General features: G+C 42.7%; 1 protein-coding gene and 1 long non-coding RNA gene across 2 annotated transcripts in view; one reads left to right on the top strand and one right to left on the bottom strand.

Moving 5' to 3' along the window:
* Window positions 1–18,118, bottom strand: part of LOC105372630 (uncharacterized) — a 59,516-nt gene that overhangs the window by 20,353 nt on the left and 21,045 nt on the right. The gene's annotated exons all lie outside the window — the stretch shown is intronic.
* SLPI (secretory leukocyte peptidase inhibitor) lies at window positions 15,436–17,761 on the top strand. The gene is made up of 4 exons (NM_003064.4): window positions 15,436–15,541; window positions 16,267–16,425; window positions 16,849–16,998; window positions 17,581–17,761. Exons 1-4 carry the CDS (start codon window positions 15,457–15,459, stop codon window positions 17,583–17,585), a joined length of 399 nt encoding a protein of 132 aa, NP_003055.1. The 5' UTR covers window positions 15,436–15,456; the 3' UTR covers window positions 17,586–17,761.

The following is an 18,118-nucleotide window of genomic DNA, read 5'->3' as shown; positions in this document are numbered from 1 at the left end:
TGCTTGTTCCTGAAGGCAATTCTCAGGCTTGATTGCATCCACTGGAAGTGGTGGGGCAGAATCCTAGGGACAGGGATGACATATGGTCTTGCTCTCTCTTGTTATGCCGAAGGTCTGGAAGTACCAGAGGCCAGTATGTGATGCCCAAACCCCCAAACAACTGTGAGAAGAAAGGCCAGTGCTAAGATGAATTCTAGTACTGTAAGGGCATGTATGGAAAAGCATGTATTCACATCGTGAAAAATCCAGGAGAGGCTGACTTCATGTAACTCACTTATGACCACAACTGCTGGTGCCCTGGGCCATTAATAAGAGGTCACCTGCTTATTTATCCCTTTGAGGGAGTAGCTGCCTGGCACTGCTATCTTCAACACTGTTTTTTTTCCCATCATCTCAACAATTTTGTTCAAGGAGATGTGGTCCAAAATTTAAAATTCAAATTCAATCTTATCTGCTACCGTGACATCTGATAAAATCACGAGGGACCTGGAATTTACTAATCTCAAGTTTCCCTCTTTACTGTATTCCCATGGTAAAAGTCTCATAGCTAAACAACCTCTTTATTAAGGGACCAGCTACAGGTCCTGCTTACTCCTGATGAATGGGTTTCAGTTTCCTGACAGCCTGCAGAATTATTCAAGCAAGCCAGTCATACCCTCCTGTGGGAGGCAGAGAACATCTCACCCTCATAACACTATAAACCTTGCCTCTCACAGCCCCCGGTGGCACACGGGGCTCCCAAGTGCAATCTCCCTGTGGCCCTGGGTGGCATGCAGTGTCCTTGTCCCCAGGCTGGGATGTGAAAAATAAACAGCTATGGATCTCATCTGTTCAGCAATGGGTGTCATGTGGTTGGCCATCCTTATAACCCTAGGTCAGAAATTCCTCCTTCACCAATGGGGTGAAGAGGAGTCAGCTAAAACCGGGGAACACAGGATCTCCCTAAGAATTCCTTTTACCCCAGCCCCACTGATTGGTGTCCCAAGAGTTCAGGTTACTTGAGGTTGGGAGCAGAAGGCCACATCCTAAGATTCTTGAGTTCGAACCTCAGCTCTGGCATCAACTAGCTGATTGACCTCAGGCAAACTCCTGTATCTCTCTTATCTTCTATATTGGTTAAGCATCAGTTACAAAACCAGGAACTACTCTAGCTAGTTTAAACAGAAAGTTTATTATTAGGATTAGATGTCCTACAAAATCACTTGGAGGGCTGAAGGAGAAGCCGGTACACTGAGTATCAGGAAAATTTCCTCCCCCTGAGTCATGGTGCCTTGGCTACAATTCAGGAAGCTCCCGGCTGGAGAACCATTCTGCTTCTGCCATGGTCTGTACCAGCAGAATATATGTCCTACACTCTGCTTTCCTCTAACTTAGCCTTGGTTCAACCCTTGTGAGAGTGCATCTGACTGGTGAAACATAAATGACAGCCGACCCTACCTTCAGGGGGTCTGGAGAATGTAGCTTTTAACATTGTAGCCTCTGCACTATAGAGAGATACATAAAAAATGGTTGAAATGGATGTGGATTGCATCAGTCTGTAGATTCTGCCATAGTCTCTTCTCTTCATTTAAAAAATGGTTTGTTAGGATCTCCCAGGTTTGCGGGATCTCTGGGTGGGTTGGGAATGGGCATGAGATGGCTGACGAGTCAAGCCTAGACTAGTATAGTCAGAGTCTCTCTAGAGATTATCTAAGTGTTTTCCCACCCTGTTAGACTCAATATATTTATTTATTTATCTGTTTACTTTTAAGAGACAGAGTCTTACTCTGTTGCCCATGCTGAAGTGCAATGGTGCAGTCATAGCTCCCTGTAACCTTGAACTCCTCGGTTGAAGGGGGTCTCCTGCCTCAGCCTCTCAAGTAGCTAGGACTACAGGTGCATATAATCACACCTGACTTTCCTTTCCTTTCCTTTCCTTTCCTTTCCTTTCCTTTCCTTTCCTTTCCTTTCCTTTCCTTTCCTTTCCTTTCCTTTCCCTTTCTTTCTCTCTTTCTTTCTTTCTTTCTTTCTCTCTTTCTTTCTTTCTTTCTTTCTTTCTTTCTTTCTTTCTTTCTTTCTTTCTTTCTTTCTCTTTCTTTCTTTTTCTCTTTCTTTCTTTCTTTCTTTTTTCTCTTTCTTTCTTTCCCTCCCTCCCTCCCTTCCTTCCTTCTTTCCTTCCATCCTTTCTTTCTTTTTCTTTTTTTCTTTTTGAGATGAGGTCTCATAGGCTGGTTCAAGACCAGCCTATGTTACTCCTAGCCTCAAGTGATTCTCCCGCCTCGGTCTCCCAAAGCATTGGGATTACAGGCATGAGCCACTGTACCTGGCCCATGGTCTAGGACATGGGGGATGATGGGAGGAAAGGAGAGAAGTGAGAGAGGTGGTGGGATTTGTGGCCTTGCTCTCAGCATGTGGAGTGGAAAGAATAGTGGATTTTGAGTGAGACAGATCATATCTTAAATCATAATTGTGTGAGTTATGTCCAAATTGCTCGGGAATTCATCCTTCTGAGCGTCAATTTTACCATGTATGTATGGGGTTAATATTAATTCCTTTTTTGTATGGTGGTGAGGAATAAAGGCATTGTTTGTGAGAGAAGTGCACAGTGACATCGGTCAACAACTAGTAGATATTTATTTTCCTTTAGGATCAGCTCCAGGTTCCTTGTGGCACCAATCCTCACTCCACCTCCTATTGAGAATGTTGCTGTTGTTGGTCAGGTTTAGCACTTTCTTTGGGGCACTATTCAGAAATCACACACACATGAGTGTGATCCTCTTTGATTTCATTTATCAGGAGTTGTAACACAGGTCTGAAATGAATTGCTTCAGTGGTTACCAGGCATGACCAGTTTCCTCTCCTCTCTTTGTCCTTTCTGGTTCCAGGAAGAAATTTGAAACCTGAACAAACCTCTAATCATTAAAGAATTTAAAATGGTAATTAAATTTCTCCTTTTATAAAAGAAAACAAGTTAAGAGGTTTTCACTTGGTAATTAAATCTCTTCTTTTAAAATGGGAAATAATATGAAATGTATTCATTTTTTACCAAACCTACAAGAAAGACAATTTCTATCCCAAATGATTTCAGAGACTAAAAGAAGGGAAAGCACGGATGGAAACTTTTGTGGTGCTTATCTTTGATATTGTGTGTTTATATCATAATCAGAGTTTAAGAAACTAGACTCTTTTTTCTTATGAGAATACATGGGAAAATCCAAAATGTTGGGATTTTTTGTCAGTGTTGAATTTTTTGAAGTTGATAACTGTACTGTGGTTATATAAAGGTGTCCTTATTCATAGCGAATACACACTGAAGTATTCATGGACAGAGGAGCATAATGTATACAACTTATTCTCAATGGTTGGAATAAAACATTCTATTCTCTCACACACACAAAAGAGAAAGAATGATAAAACAAATGTGGCAAAATGTTAATATTTAGTGAATCTGGGTGAAGGGAATATGGTAGTTCTTTGTACTGTTCTTCCCATTTTTTTCCATACATTTGAAATATTTCAAAGTGACAAGTATAATACATGCTAGGACATTTATTATAATAGTAGGGTATCCCTATAATAAATATAATAAATAAATAAATAAACAGATATGCAAAGATAGTTCAAGAACAGAAAATCTATCAAGGGGATTAAGCAAATTAAAAGTTTAAAGATGACCCAAATGAGTCTCTAAATAGTTTCATAAAAATCATTCTATATTGTATTCTACATTCATGTGTAATAAAAATAGAAACACCCTAGACCAGGAACAAAAGTGAACATAACTAATCTGGTAAAAGGTATTTACCAACAGTCGCAGCAAATATACTCAGTGATGACACTTTAGAAATGGCATCCTTAAAGACAGGTACAAGGGCAGAATTTCTCCCATCTCCATTTTCAGTCAATCTCATATTAGTGATCTTAGGCCAATGCAATAAAATTGGACATAAAAATAAAGAGGTATAAGGATTGGAAAGGGAGAGATAAAATTGTGAGTGTTTACAAATGATATGATTGTCTCAGGATGAAATCCAAGAGAATCAATGGGTAAACTATTCACAACAGCCATAAAATTTATGATTACCTGGAAAAATTATATGATGAAAATAAAATTTTATTAAAAGACTTGAAGAGGCCTTGAATAAATAGAGTGAGACTTATTTTTTTATACTTGGGAAGACTTACTATGGTAAATATTTTGGCTCTTCCAGGTAATTTATAGCATGGATGCAATCATAATAAAAATTCAACAGAGTTTTTAAGGACCTTGTCAAATTGACCCTAAAGTTTACATGGTAGAGTAAAAGCACAGGGATAGCCAAAACAATTCTAAACAAGCAAAACAGAAAAGACTTCTACTGCGAAGCACCAGGTTATAAAAAATATAGATGCAAATTAAAGGAGTATGGTATTGGTCTGGGAGTGAACAAATTGAGTAAGAAAACCTAGTAGAGTGCATCCATCCACATATGAAAACTGGTACAAAATTAATACAGTTTTATGATCAAAAGGGGGATCAATGATATAGGGAACAATTGGCATTCCATATTGGAAAAAAAATCAAACAAAGTCTCTACTTAAACCTTTCACAAAAATAAATTCCAGATGGATTAACGACTTAAATGTGGAAAATACAACTTTAAAAATGTGTTTATAAAATTGGAGATTGTCCTATTTTTAATCAAGATGACACCAGAGACAGTTTATGCTAACTGATGCTTCTATCTGGAGCTCACGCACCATCTGTACAGCAGGCACATCAGTTGCATGAACTGAAGAGTTGACCCTCAGTGGTTCTCTCTCCTTACCCCAGCTTTGGGCACAGGGAATCATGGCTGCTCTTCAGGCCTGGGTAAGAAGCATTATTCCTTAGACAGCCCCTATCAAATTCACCCAAAGCATTCCTTCCTCCTGTCACCTTGTATAGGAGGCCGACTCTGAGCCTTATTTTTCCTGTTTGTAAAATTGGATACTGTACTACCTGCTTTATTCATTGTTATAGGTTTAAATGTGAAAAAGCATGCAAAGCCTTTAGCACAGTGTCCAGCATAAAAAAGATGCTCAGTAATTATTAGCCACAAGTATCAGAATTATCAAAGGGAACATATTTATTAAGTGGGAAAGACAGGATTTAAAAGCTGGTCAGTCTGATTCCAAAGTCTGTGATCTTTTAATGAATGTCACTGAGATCAAGCGAAAGGATATAGGATAATTTGGGAGATGTTAGTCCAGGCTGTGGAATTGGGGGTCTGCATCCTCCTTGTTCTAGAGTTTGATAGGTCATTTTTCTTTCTCCTCTTGGCCTCCCCTGTAGGTTCCAGCATTGCTGACAATTGCCTAATTTCCAATACTCATTCTTTCTCCCAACACTTTAAAATTGTAAAACAAAACATGCATTAGGAAAAGCACATAAAATAAGAGTAAGATTTAATGAACAATTACAAAGCAAACACATGTTCAACCGCCACAGAGGCCATGTTCTTTTTTTAATATGTCTTATCAAGGCCCACAACTTCCTTAGTGACAAGTCATGGCTTCTTTTTTGTTGGTCCTTGAGTAAATGGATGTCTCCCTTTGGGGAGATATGCCAGCCCGTGGGGGAAAAATGTGAGAAACATCTTGGTCTTCAATCCGACACTGTCACAAATCATTTCTTGGGAGGGGAGGTTTCGAATGCTCCTGCCACCACTGAATTTTCTTGGCTTCTACTTCTGGTTCAGACATTTGCTGCTGTTGCCCCAGATCCCAGCTCTCCCCATCCATGAGTTCTCTAACTCTTCTTTGTACTGTTTTTTTCTGAGGGCAACCACCTTTCTCAGTCTCTCCAGAATTGCTAAGAAGAATCCAACCTGCACAAATGGCAAAATTCGAGCCAAGGGAATTCAAGCCTTCTGGTAAAAGAAGGAGGTGGACACCCAGCCTCTCCCTTGAAGTGCATTGCTGCTCTTAGACCAACAGGGATGACTGGACATGCTGCCCCTCCCATGTTTTTATTCCTTTCTCAGCTTCTCCTTGCCCTGTCTCCACAAGTGATTTTTTTTCTTTTAAATTTTTATTTTTTTCTTTTATTTTTCTTTAGAGATGGGGTCTCGCTATTTTGCCCAGGCTGGTCTTGAAATACTGGGCTCAAACGATCCTCCCACCTTGGCCTCCCAAAGTGCTAGGATTACAGACACCAGAATAGAGATATAATTGCCTCCATTTTCTATGGGAAAATCTTAAGGCACACTCTAGGTTTGCAAATCATGCTAATTCCTTTCCAGCATGCACCAATTTATAACTTGTATGTCTTATTTTGTAGGGGATGACCTTGGTTAGCTGTCTAATTGAGGAAGACCTTAAACATAAATGCACATAGAGGCATTGCTGATTGATAATTTGATTTATGTTCATGGGAGGAAAAACAACATCAAACAAGAGAGCTATGGTTAGGTGCTTATTGTTTATTGATGCTAAGTCTCTTTCTATGTCTTTTAAAACAAGCAATGAGGCTGAATTTTCAGAGAATGCAGATACCTAACAATTGGCCTAAGGGTTGTCCTGCCTAATTTGGTAAAAAAGTGGCAGACAACTGTACATTATTTAGATTTACCAGATGAACATATAAAAAAAACCAAGTAGAAATACTGGAAATAAATGATTATTGAAATAAAAATTCATTACTTACTAGATAGAACTAGCATTCGACCCAGCAATCTCATTACTGGATATATACCCAAACGAATAGAAATTGTTCTACCATGAAGACACATGCGTGCATATATTCATTGCAGCAGTATTCAAAATAGCAAAGACATGGAATTAATCTAGATGCCCATCAATGGTGGACTGGATAAAGAAACTGTGATACATAAACACCATGGAATACTATGCAGGCATAAGAAAGAATGAAATAATGTCCTTTGTAGCAACATGGATGGAGCCGGAGGCCATTATCCTAAGTGAATTAAAGCAGCAACAGAAAAACCAAAAACAGAGTATCACATCATCTCACTTATAAGTGTGAGCTAAACACTGAATACACGTGGACACAAAGAAGAGAACAATAGGCATTGGGGCTTACTTGAGAGTGAAGGGTTCGAGGAGGGTTAGGACTGAAAGAGTACCTATTGGGTATTACCTGGGTGACAAAGTTATCTGTACATCAAATATTAACATGCAATTTACCCATGTTAACAAGCTGCACATGTACCCTTGAACCTAAAATAAAAGTTGGAAAAACATTGGATAAAGTAGAGTTTAGACTGGATGCAGCTGAAAGAAAACTTGGTGAATTTTTAGCCAGTACTGAGAAATTCACCCAGAGCCCAGCACAGAGAGATGAAGAGAAAAATATAAGAGAAAGGCAAAACAACGATAATAAAAATAGAAGGTCTAGTAAATATCCGGTGGAAGTTCCAGAAAGAGACTGGAGAGAATGGCACAGAAGTAATATTCAAAGAGATAAAGAAAGGACTTTTTCTTTTAGGATTAAATTAAGACATGCATCTTCAGACTAAAAGTGCATATTTGGAGTAAAGCAGAATAAATAAAAGGCAAACATGACTCGGCGAGATTTCTGACAATAGTTACTAGTTCATGCTTTTATATGAAGCAAATGGACCAGGAGCCAACTAAACATGAAAACCAAGCCTCATAATGGCCACTGATTGTTCATGTCGATCCCCACATCCTGCTGCACCTATATAAAGTGAATTCTTGAAAAGGTGCAGATGCCCTTCCTTCCCCAACAAAAGGGCATCCTCTGCAATACTCCTCCAAGATGTAGCCATGGAAGGTGACAGGCAAAGGAGAGGCTCCCAGACAGCAGAACTGGATTCTTCAGATTTATTGAGTAAGGAAATCACTCCAACATTAGGTAGGAAGTCCTCACATCCCTGTCTTACAGGATGTACAATCCGTATTACGGGCCAGTGACAATTTGTATATATCTTCCTATATTTCCCTTTTGCAAATAGGACTTTTTATTGCAGTCATTCCGCCCTCAATCTACCATTCTATATTGGGTGCATTTGAAGTGGTTAAATTTACTTAAGCTTATTAAACTTAATCTGTGAAGACTATAAATTTAACTGACAGAACTGCTTTCACCCACATTGCAGAACTGGAGATGAATATAGTACCCAGAGAGACATTTTGTTGTCTTTCTTTGGGAGAGAGGTTGAGTGCATTTTATGTAGATGTTGGTTTAGAAAGTATTTGAAAAAATTTAGTTATGTAGATTTCAGTAACCAAAAGGGGTATACTTTAGAGAACACTCACTGCTATTTTTACCACTGAGCATCCTTTCACCCTTCTGCTGGTAGCTATATCCTAATTTACCCCAGGAGAATCATTCCCTCTCCCACTCTGAAAATTCCACTGGATTTGGGGATGAGTACACATGGTGATGAGTATTGTGGCCTTGGCTTAAACCAATCGGTACATCCCAGTTCCCTGGTCCCAATCATTGGTTTAAAGATTTAATTCTAGCCACTCCTAGTTAGTTGAGTTGCCCAGAAAAAGCCCTTACTAGACATGAATTTGGGAAGATGGGAGGAGATGCCACAGCCATATTATAAATGCTAAGAGGGAGCCTGACTAAGAATGAAGCCAACATGAAGAGAAGTGCCGTGGAGAGAATCTTGTGGGAGCTATAGTTTGAGCCCTTGCTCAAATTGCACCTGAAAATAGCACCTATTCTCCTTGGTTTATTCAGCACTCTCACTTCTTGCATCTTTAAGATCATTTTTTAACTTTCCGCCGAAGGATTATCTGGACAGTGCTACTATCCCAGGCATCTCCAACTCTGGGTTTAGGACTAAAGAAGTCTTGGAGGGACCATAATGAAGCAGTATGTGGCTGAATTCTGAAGACTTGGGTTTGAATCTTACTGTACCTCTGACTTGCTGTGTCATCTTGGGCAAGTGGGCTTACTCTCTGAGGTTCCATTTCCTTTTCTTTAAAATGGGATATAAAAGTGCTTGGTCCACTGTGAAGTTCGGGGTCATGCATGGTGTCTATTCCTAGGCTTTTTATTCAGGAAAGTTGGCTCTCTGGGTCCTGAGAGTCCTCTATAAGGCAAAAACCCAGCTAGAATCTAAGACTTGGGGCCTCTAAAGAGCATCTGTTCCAATGCACTGATCTTACAAATAGGGAAACTGAGGCCCAGAGAAAGGAAGGTTCTACATCAAATTGGACAGAGCTGGGATTCCAGCCCAGTGTCCTGAGTCCAGTATCATCGTCATGCCTCTCTAGCTGACCACAGGGTCCCAGAGGCCAGAAGTGATGCTATCAAGTGTGAGTCTTTCATGGTCTTTCTGGCACTCTGCTCTGTTTGGGCCACAGAGGTGTCCTCATAGTGGTGCTCTCCACTGACCCCAGGCTTAGACACCAAACTCTCCCATAGTAATGATCAACCAGGCATCGTCTGCCATGTCCATCTAAGACCCTACCATCTCCTGATCTGCAACAGGAACGTTTCTCTGAGACTCACTTTTTCTCATCTGTAAACTGACTTGACATTAGTATCTACCAAGTTTTGTGTGACGCTTAAATGTAACAAAACATGCTAAACCAAAGGAGATGGATTCTAGTGATTTGGGGACATCTTTTCCCAAGCTGCTTATAGCTCTGTTCCACAGTTTAATAATCCAGTTTTTCTATTCCCGGTTTTCTTCCATGGGTAGTCATGATGGCAGTTTCTTAATGCCGAGCACTGTTTTTCTTTTTGTTTTACCAGGTCCCTAAAGCATTTCCTCATGACATACCACAGACTTTGTTTCTTTAACCTTAGGTTAACTGGATCCCTTCCTCTAGGGAGACAGACATGCAGTTTTTGAAGGAATAAAGTGCAGAGCCCTGATCTGTACACCAACCATCTCTTGCATGGTAATAAGTATGAAGACACCTGAGATCCACCGTTGTTGGTTAATTTCTCCTGCCAATTCTTTGATGGTGGATGTTTTTCACCCTTGCCCAGATTCTGCTTTACTGCCCTTCACCCATTCACTTGTGGGCCTAAAAGGACAGTTCATATTTCCAGATTTTATTAGGACTATGATGAGCAGTAGGGGAGGAAGTACAAACATTGCAGAATTCAAACTTTCTTGGGTGGGAAAATGATAAGGAGTGGCTAAGCCATCTGTTTCTCTGGAAGGTCTAGGGAGATCCAGTTGCCATGTCCACCACCTGTGGATGACACTTCCAGAGGTGATTTAAATGACCCCACCTCCCTTGCAGTCATCTCTTTCTCATCTACTCTTCCTGTCTCAGCTCGGGGTTTTTTTTTCCCCAATACTCTCCCCACCACACCTACTACATCTCCATACTCCCTGGCTCTGTGTCTCCATTCCCATTTGGTCATTATTGACGTTTTATGTATTTTGTTTAAGACAATATTTTAAGCTAAGTTATAAAGGCAACTATGAAAGTCAGAAAATTGGCTGAGGCTCTTGGGGAGAGCTGATGGCCTCAGAGGAAGCAGGATGAAGCTGTTTCTTAGAGTCACAGTTACCGTCTTGGGACAGGTAGAGGAACTGAGGCCCAGGGAAAGGTAGTTGCTGCCTTATTCACACAGGAATGAGCTGTGAAAACCTGGTTGTCTGCCAGATTCTGAAAGAGTTTTTTGTTCTGTGTTGTTTTTTGGTTTTGAGACTTGGAAACATAGTGAATTTTAGGTAAGAACACAGTGACTTTTAGTTAAGGGTGAAGCTGGCATCTGCTATCAGAATGGGGCGACCCGAAACACATTCTTCCTTAGACCTGAGCAACGGGGCTCCTTCCCTGCACCTCACACTTCAGGTCGCTCTGTGCCTTGGGGCGTCTTCCTCAAAATTGTCTATGTTCCCCTGGAGTGCCTGAAGCCAGCCAGGATCAATGGTGCCATGGGGCAGAGAATCCCAGCTTGGACTGAGAACTGCATGGGTTCTAGTCCAAGGGGGTGCTTCTCACTCTGTACTCCTTCCCCCATTGCTAGAATCTAGGGCAGTCATCCTACCACCTTGGATGGCTCCTGGCAGGAGCCTGTGGCTGCTCCTGTCTCTTCCTCAGGGCTTTCCAGGCCATCTCTGTGCAACTCCAAAGGGGCTTTTCAGTTGATGTCTTTTTTTTTTTCCTCTGATTGACCTATGCTCTCTCGGGTCAGTGTTGAGCCATAATGGATTAGGCAGAGACATTTCTTGTGCAAATGAGATGCTCCTCTCACTTCAACCCTGAGCCCCTCCAGGGCTGGCTACATAATTTACAAGACTCAATGCAAAGTGAAAATGTGGAGCTGCTTGTTCAAAAGCAGGAAAAAAAGTGTTAACGGTACTAAAATTAATTTTTTAACTTTCTTTGGCAGTTTCTCTCTAGATCTGCCATGGTGTTAAAAAAATTATTTACTGTTGCTCCTCCACAAGTATGTGGATACTCACAGGGAGAGTGCAGACTCCCAGAGGTGCGCAGGGTCCCTGTCCCGCTACTTGGTGTGTGCAGGACCCACCAGCTGCCAGGGTCCCCCTGTCACCAGCACCCTGGTAGTCAGGGACAAGCGGCCACACTAACAACATTTGAGACAGTAATTGGAAGCCAGTATTCAGAGAAGGCATAAAGGATGATGCAGCCTCACAAGTAATGATGTAACCAACTTTAATAAATGGCATTGGGAAGTGCAGAGGCAAGCAGGTTCCATCAGCCAGGGTTTTCCAGAGAAACAGAACCAATAGTTGATTATCTGGCTATCTATCTATCTATCTATCTATCTATCTATCTATATCTATCTATCTATCTATATCTATCTGTCAGTTAAGATCTGTCTATCTGTCTGTCTACCTACCTACCAATAGGCCCAATCAGGTCTATTTTGTCAAGAAATAAGACCATGTTTTGTCAAACATTTAATGGGACAGAGCCAGATGGGTCCAGACCCAAGGACTAAGCTATTTAGTTAAAGACTGACAGCTCCCTGTGCGCTTAATGTGTGCAGGGACACGCCGGTAATAAAAACAATGTGTAATGTACTGAGGGGACCAGACAGTTTGCTGAGTGCTTTCCAAATACTCCTCACAACAACTGTACGACTCCAGAGGCAGCAACACTCTCATTTTTCAGTGGAGGTAGCTGAAGTTCAAAGAGGTTCAGTGATTTGCTTCCAACCTGTAAGTCTGACTTTGAAGTTCAGGTTCTTAACAACCATGTGGTGTCGACTCCGTGGGCGTGCTCTTTTCTGTAGCCCTAGGCCTAGTGCAATACCTGACATGTGGTAAGAAATGTTAAACAACTTTTGTGTGAATGGTTTGTATAAATGAATGAAGGAATCTATAGGATTTAGGTAGAAGGCAATAAAGGGTGTGTGAAATAGATTTTTTTTTTTGAGACAGAGTGTCACTCTTGTAGCCCAGTGGCATGACCTCAGCTAACTGCAACTCTGCCTCCCAGGTTGAAGTGATTCTCCTGCTTCAGCCTCCTGAGTATTACAGGCACACACCACCATGCCCGGCTGATTTTTGTATTTTTAGTAGAGATGGGATTTCACCATGTTGGCCAGGCTGGTCTCAAACTCCTGACCTCAAGTGATCCACCCACCTCAGTCTCCCAAAGTTCTGGGATCACAGGAGTGAGCCACCACTCCCAGCCTTGAGATAGATTGAATGAGTCAGTCTCAGGTTAAGATTTGGTTAGGAGTGGAAGTGTCCTCCACCAGACAGGTTCTGGGGATCAGCATGTGAGTAACCTGTTTTAGAAAAGCTCAATCTTGTGTGTGTCGTTAATCCGCTATGCAGCTTTGGGCCTGGATCTTCTTCTAAGGGATTCAGTCTCTTTTATGCAAGCTGTGGGTTTGGTCTAGGGGTTAGCATTTTCTGTAAAGGACCAGACGATAAGTATTTTAGGCTGTGCAGTAAATATTTTAGGTCCCTGTTGCCATTGTAGTGGAAAGATAGCCTTAGACAATACATAAATTAATGGATGTGTGGCTATGTGCCAATAAAACTTTATGAAAACAGGTAACTAGGTGGATTTGGTCCAAGGACTGTAGTTTGCTGATCTAGAAAACCCTTGAAGTCCTCTTTTTAGTCTTAACATTCTATGATGTAAACATTTAGAACCAATTATGTCAAAGATAATAATGATTATATACTATTATCTTCTTATGACACCCATGGAAGACATTGCTAATTGGGCACAGGGCTCTTTTCTGATGAGAAAGGAGCTGGCTCTAATCAGTCAATCACAGATTGAGCAATCAGTCAATCACAGATTTAAAAAAAACTTAAGCTGTAGCATTTTCCTTTTAATTTTTTTTTTTTTTGAGACGGAGTCTCAGTTTGTTGCCTAGGCTAGAATGCAATGGTACAATCTCAGCTCACTGCAACCTCTACCTCCAGGGTTCAAGTGATTCTCCTGCCTCAGCCTCCTGAGTAGCTGGGATTACAGGTGTGTGCCACACTGCCTGGCTAATTTTTGTATTTTTAGTGGAGATAGGGTTTCACCATGTTGGCCAGGCTGCTCTTGAACTCCTGACCTCAAGTGATCCGCCCACCTTGGTTTCCCAAAGTGCTAGGATTACAGGCATAAGCCACCGTGCCCAGCCCCTTTTCATTCTTTAAGAAATAAATATTTAGAAAACTCCAGATAATTTCTTGAGTGTGGCACTGAGGAAAATAGGAACAAACAGAGAGAGAGAGAGAGAGAGAGAACAGGAACTCTGTGAGAGAAATCAAATTATCCCCTGGGTGGTGGAAGTGAGAACAAAAATCTTGACCTGAGAGTGTCATTACCCATTGGTGGAAATCATAGCCTCCATTTCTCTCTTACCTACCCTACTAAGTACTCCAACTAAGAGTGAATGCACCTGGCTCATAGTAGTTACCTTGTGCATATTAATTTTCTTCCTTTTCTTTTTCCACCAAAATTTGACTGATGATTGATTATGTCCAAGTCTTCTGATCCACCAAAATTCAAACCATGGAGTGACTTTTGTATAAAGGGATCTGCTGCCAGTTGCCTGTTTGGTTGTGGAATACTTAAATACTTCATGTGGGGCCATCGCTACTTGATAATGAGTGGGTCTTTCATGTCTGTGGAAAGTTCCACAAACCTTCACCTTAGGAATGAATGGGAGAATTCCAAGCATGAAGATAATGAGTCAAGAGCTTGGAGTTTGTAGCTAGATGAGCTTTGGTTGAATTTTATTTTATTTTATTTTTTTAAGACAGGGTATCGCTCTGTCCCCCAAGCTGGAATGCAGTGGCACAATCATGGCTCACTGCAGCCTCAAACTCCTGGGCTAAAGCGATCCTCCTGGCTCAGCCTCCCAAGTAGCTGGGACTACAGGCATACGTACGTCATCATGCCTGGCTAATTTTTTACATTTTTTTGTAGAGATGGGGTCTCAATATGTGGCCAGGGCTGGTCTCAAACTCCTACTCTCAAGGAATCCATACACCTCAGCCTCCTGGGCAGCTGAGACAGCAAGTGTGCGACCCTACACTCAGCTATGGGCTGAATTTTAGAGATAATGGTCGCTCTCTTTATAATTAGAAGCAACCTATGCAGACTGGGTAGCAAATAGAATGGGTTTAATTTTTTGCTGTCATGTGAGATCTGTAAGGGATTTTGGGGAATTTTAGGAAGCAATCCTCTAAGATCTCAAATTATCTCACAGCTAAATGTAGATTACAGTGACTGATGAGCTGCTTTCCCCCTTTATCTCAGATTCATTTCAATTCTCTTTAGTGGGAAGGGATACTATTCATTTGTTCTTTTCATTCAGAGTCCCTTCATGCCCTTAATTTCATAACCCTCTGAGAAGGGCTGACTTGTTAGTATCATTTCATTTCACAGCTGAGACAACTGAGCTCCAGAGAGATTTGTGGAGAGCGGAGCTCTTCTTCAGCTTTCATTTGTGAGTGCTTTTCCTGTGTCAGGCACAGAACAGGCACTGGGGATATAACGGTGTAAATATTTCAGGGAACTAAGTATCAGTTGGTTGAACGAGCTGAACTTTTGAGAAAGAAACTGCATTGAGTAATCAGCAGAGTTTCACAATGCCTGAGAGTCCAGTAATGTGAGAATCAGAATTAGCAATGTGAGAATAGAATGTATTGCACAAAGTCTCAGCAGGGAGTCTGTGTCTGGTTTTAGTTCCAGGTCCGGGTAGCACCTTTGCAATTGACCACTTCTTCCCTCTCTCCACCTATAAGGCTAATGGCCTGGGATCTTGTGATGTTTAGGGCTCAGATGGACACTGAGATGGCCTCTTTAATCAACCAACTTCCCAGGCCAATCTCTTCCCTTTCTTTTCTGATAGTTGCTGTGTTGGCCTCATAGCCTTACCTGGCATAGGAAAGATAAACAATCTCCTTGGTGTCAGGATTTCTGGTCTCTGGCTACGTTTCCTGCTTATGCAATAGTAGCTGGGAGAGGCCGAAAGAATTCTGGTGGGGCCACACCCACTGGTGAAAGAATAAATAGTGAGGTTTGGCATTGGCCATCAGAGTCACTCCTGCCTTCACCATGAAGTCCAGCGGCCTCTTCCCCTTCCTGGTGCTGCTTGCCCTGGGAACTCTGGCACCTTGGGCTGTGGAAGGCTCTGGAAAGTGTAAGTTGGAGTCACTCTGGTCTAATCTGGGCTGCAGGGTCAGAGGTGGGGTCTCCTTGTGGTGTGGGTGTGTCCCCTTCTGTAGGCTCTGATCCCTCAGCTTAGTTTCGGGAGACCTCCCTGAGGGTGGAATACATGTCTGGCTGAGCTCCAAGGTTTGTGTGACAGTTTGAGCTTCTGGAAATGCTTCCTCTATGCAGCCATGCTGTCAGCCCAGGTCCCACTCTCTCTCTCTCTCTCTCTCTCTCTCTCTCTCTCTCATACTCCGCCTTCTTCTTCACCTGTCTGCGACTCTCAAATCATTAGTTTCTGACTCTGCTTCCTTGTGTCTTTGCTTCTGCTATTTTGTCTCTGTGCTTCTGCCTTGGGCTTTAGCTCTCAACTTCTCTCACACTGGTTCTATTTATCTTTGTTTACCTCTCTCCATCTCCATCACTCCCAGCCTTCCTCTCTGCCTTTGTGTAGCCTTGTTTTGCTCTTGGGTGGGAGGTCTTGACTAGAAGCCTGCTGCCCTTTTCTTGGGTGTGAAACGTCCCCTGTCCATTTGTCTAATTTAATCAAGCCCATCAATACACCTGGAGATCAGGCAGGCATGACCCTTTGGGCTTTGTGGACAGCTACTGAGGTAAGGGTCTCTCCCCCTCAAAAGTGGTGCTTTGTTCAGGAGGCATGATGGGTCCTCAGTACCCAGCCTCCTCCTGACCTCTTGACTTTCTCTTCAAAAGCCTTCAAAGCTGGAGTCTGTCCTCCTAAGAAATCTGCCCAGTGCCTTAGATACAAGAAACCTGAGTGCCAGAGTGACTGGCAGTGTCCAGGGAAGAAGAGATGTTGTCCTGACACTTGTGGCATCAAATGCCTGGATCCTGTTGACACCCCAAACCCAAGTAAGCAGGTCGGGGAACTGGGTAGAGAGGAGTGAGCCTGGGGACACAGCATTAGAGGGATGGAACTGGGTGATGGGTCCTGCCAGGCCTCCTTGTCAATCCGTCAGTGAGTCACACTGCCCTAAGCAGGAAGGTAGCCAGCAGCTGGTGAAGCAGCGGGCATTTAGATAGCCAGGTAGTTGGAAGCCTCCCACCTAGTCAGCACTGGGTGGCTGGCCACCTGCATCAATGGGGGGCCTGAAGTTCTAGGAGAGCCAGGTGCTATGTTTGGGGGCCGCCTTAGGGAGAAGGTGGTGGTGATAGAGGTGGGGAGGGGATGATCCCCCCTGCTGAAGCTGGAGCAGGGGCTCACTCTAAAAAGTGGGGATGGGAGGGGTTGTATAAAGTACAAGGCCTCTGACCGGTAGCCTCACTCTCACCCAGCAAGGAGGAAGCCTGGGAAGTGCCCAGTGACTTATGGCCAATGTTTGATGCTTAACCCCCCCAATTTCTGTGAGATGGATGGCCAGTGCAAGCGTGACTTGAAGTGTTGCATGGGCATGTGTGGGAAATCCTGCGTTTCCCCTGTGAAAGGTAAGCAGGGGATGAGGGCACACTGAGCTCCCTCCAGCCCTCTCAGCCTCAACCCTCTGGAGGCCCAGGCATATGGGCAGGGGGACTCCTGAACCCTACTCCAAGCACAGCCTCTGTCTGACTCCCTTGTCCTTCAAGAGAACTGTTCTCCAGGTCTCAGGGCCAGGATTTCCATAGGATCGCCTGTGGCTTTGATTCTATTCTAGTGTCTCTGGGTGGGGGTCCTGGGCAAGTGTCTTTCTGAGTCTCAGTTTCTTTATCGGTAAAATGTACATAATGAGATTGAAAGTGCTCTGCAAAGCACTATGTGCACTAAGAATTTATTATTCAGGTTGTTTCCATCATGTTTTCTGAGGTGAAATCACAAAGGATCAGTGGAGTTTGAGGATTATCTAGTTCAATGCTTTGAGTTTAGAGTTTTACGGTGAAAATGAGACTTGTCTCCTGACACTAAGTCTCTCTCAACTATAGCGCTATCTTGCTATTTTCTCTATCTCAGAAGGATCCTTGGGCAGGAGGAAGGATGTGGATATGATTTGGCTGGTTTCTATGCTGAAGCTCTTATCTGATTTTCTCTCACAGCTTGATTCCTGCCATATGGAGGAGGCTCTGGAGTCCTGCTCTGTGTGGTCCAGGTCCTTTCCACCCTGAGACTTGGCTCCACCACTGATATCCTCCTTTGGGGAAAGGCTTGGCACACAGCAGGCTTTCAAGAAGTGCCAGTTGATCAATGAATAAATAAACGAGCCTATTTCTCTTTGCACATCCTGCTTCTGTGATTCGTTGGGGGTATGAGTGGGGTGGGAAGCTGTGAGGGAAGATCTAGATATGAGGCCTCCTTCCTATGAATACGTAGTGGGAGGAAGAGGCTTAGGGACTGGGGGAACTTGAATTTATATCATGAGTGTGAAAGTGCTGACTCTGTGATTTGGGACAAGTGATTTTATCTCCTAAATTTCAATGGGATTAGGGATGTACAATAACATGAAGAATCAGAAACCTCAATTTTACTGCCTCTGGCAGGATTGTCAACTGCAGGTGAAAAACTTTCCTGAGACGAGTTTATGCATAAGAGATCCTGCCAACAGTTAAGCTATTTTAATCCAGGGGGTTTTCATCT

Source organism: Homo sapiens, chromosome 20 (genome assembly GCF_000001405.40).
Source record: "Homo sapiens chromosome 20, GRCh38.p14 Primary Assembly".
Lineage (NCBI taxonomy): Eukaryota > Metazoa > Chordata > Mammalia > Primates > Hominidae > Homo > Homo sapiens.
The sequence above is the reverse complement of the archived record's forward strand: the minus strand, read 5'-3'. Positions and strand labels throughout refer to the sequence as shown.

What these genes read in the sequence shown, in the direction of transcription:
- SLPI (NM_003064.4), top strand. Translation starts at nt 15,457, where the DNA reads ATGAAGTCCAGCGGCCTCTTCCCCTTCCTGGTGCTGCTTGCCCTGGGA. An exon ending in TGTGGAAGGCTCTGGAAAGT is followed by an intron (nt 15,542 to 16,266) that starts GTAAGTTGGAGT and finishes TCTCTTCAAAAG; the next exon opens with CCTTCAAAGCTGGAGTCTGT. An exon ending in TGTTGACACCCCAAACCCAA is followed by an intron (nt 16,426 to 16,848) that starts GTAAGCAGGTCG and finishes ACTCTCACCCAG; the next exon opens with CAAGGAGGAAGCCTGGGAAG.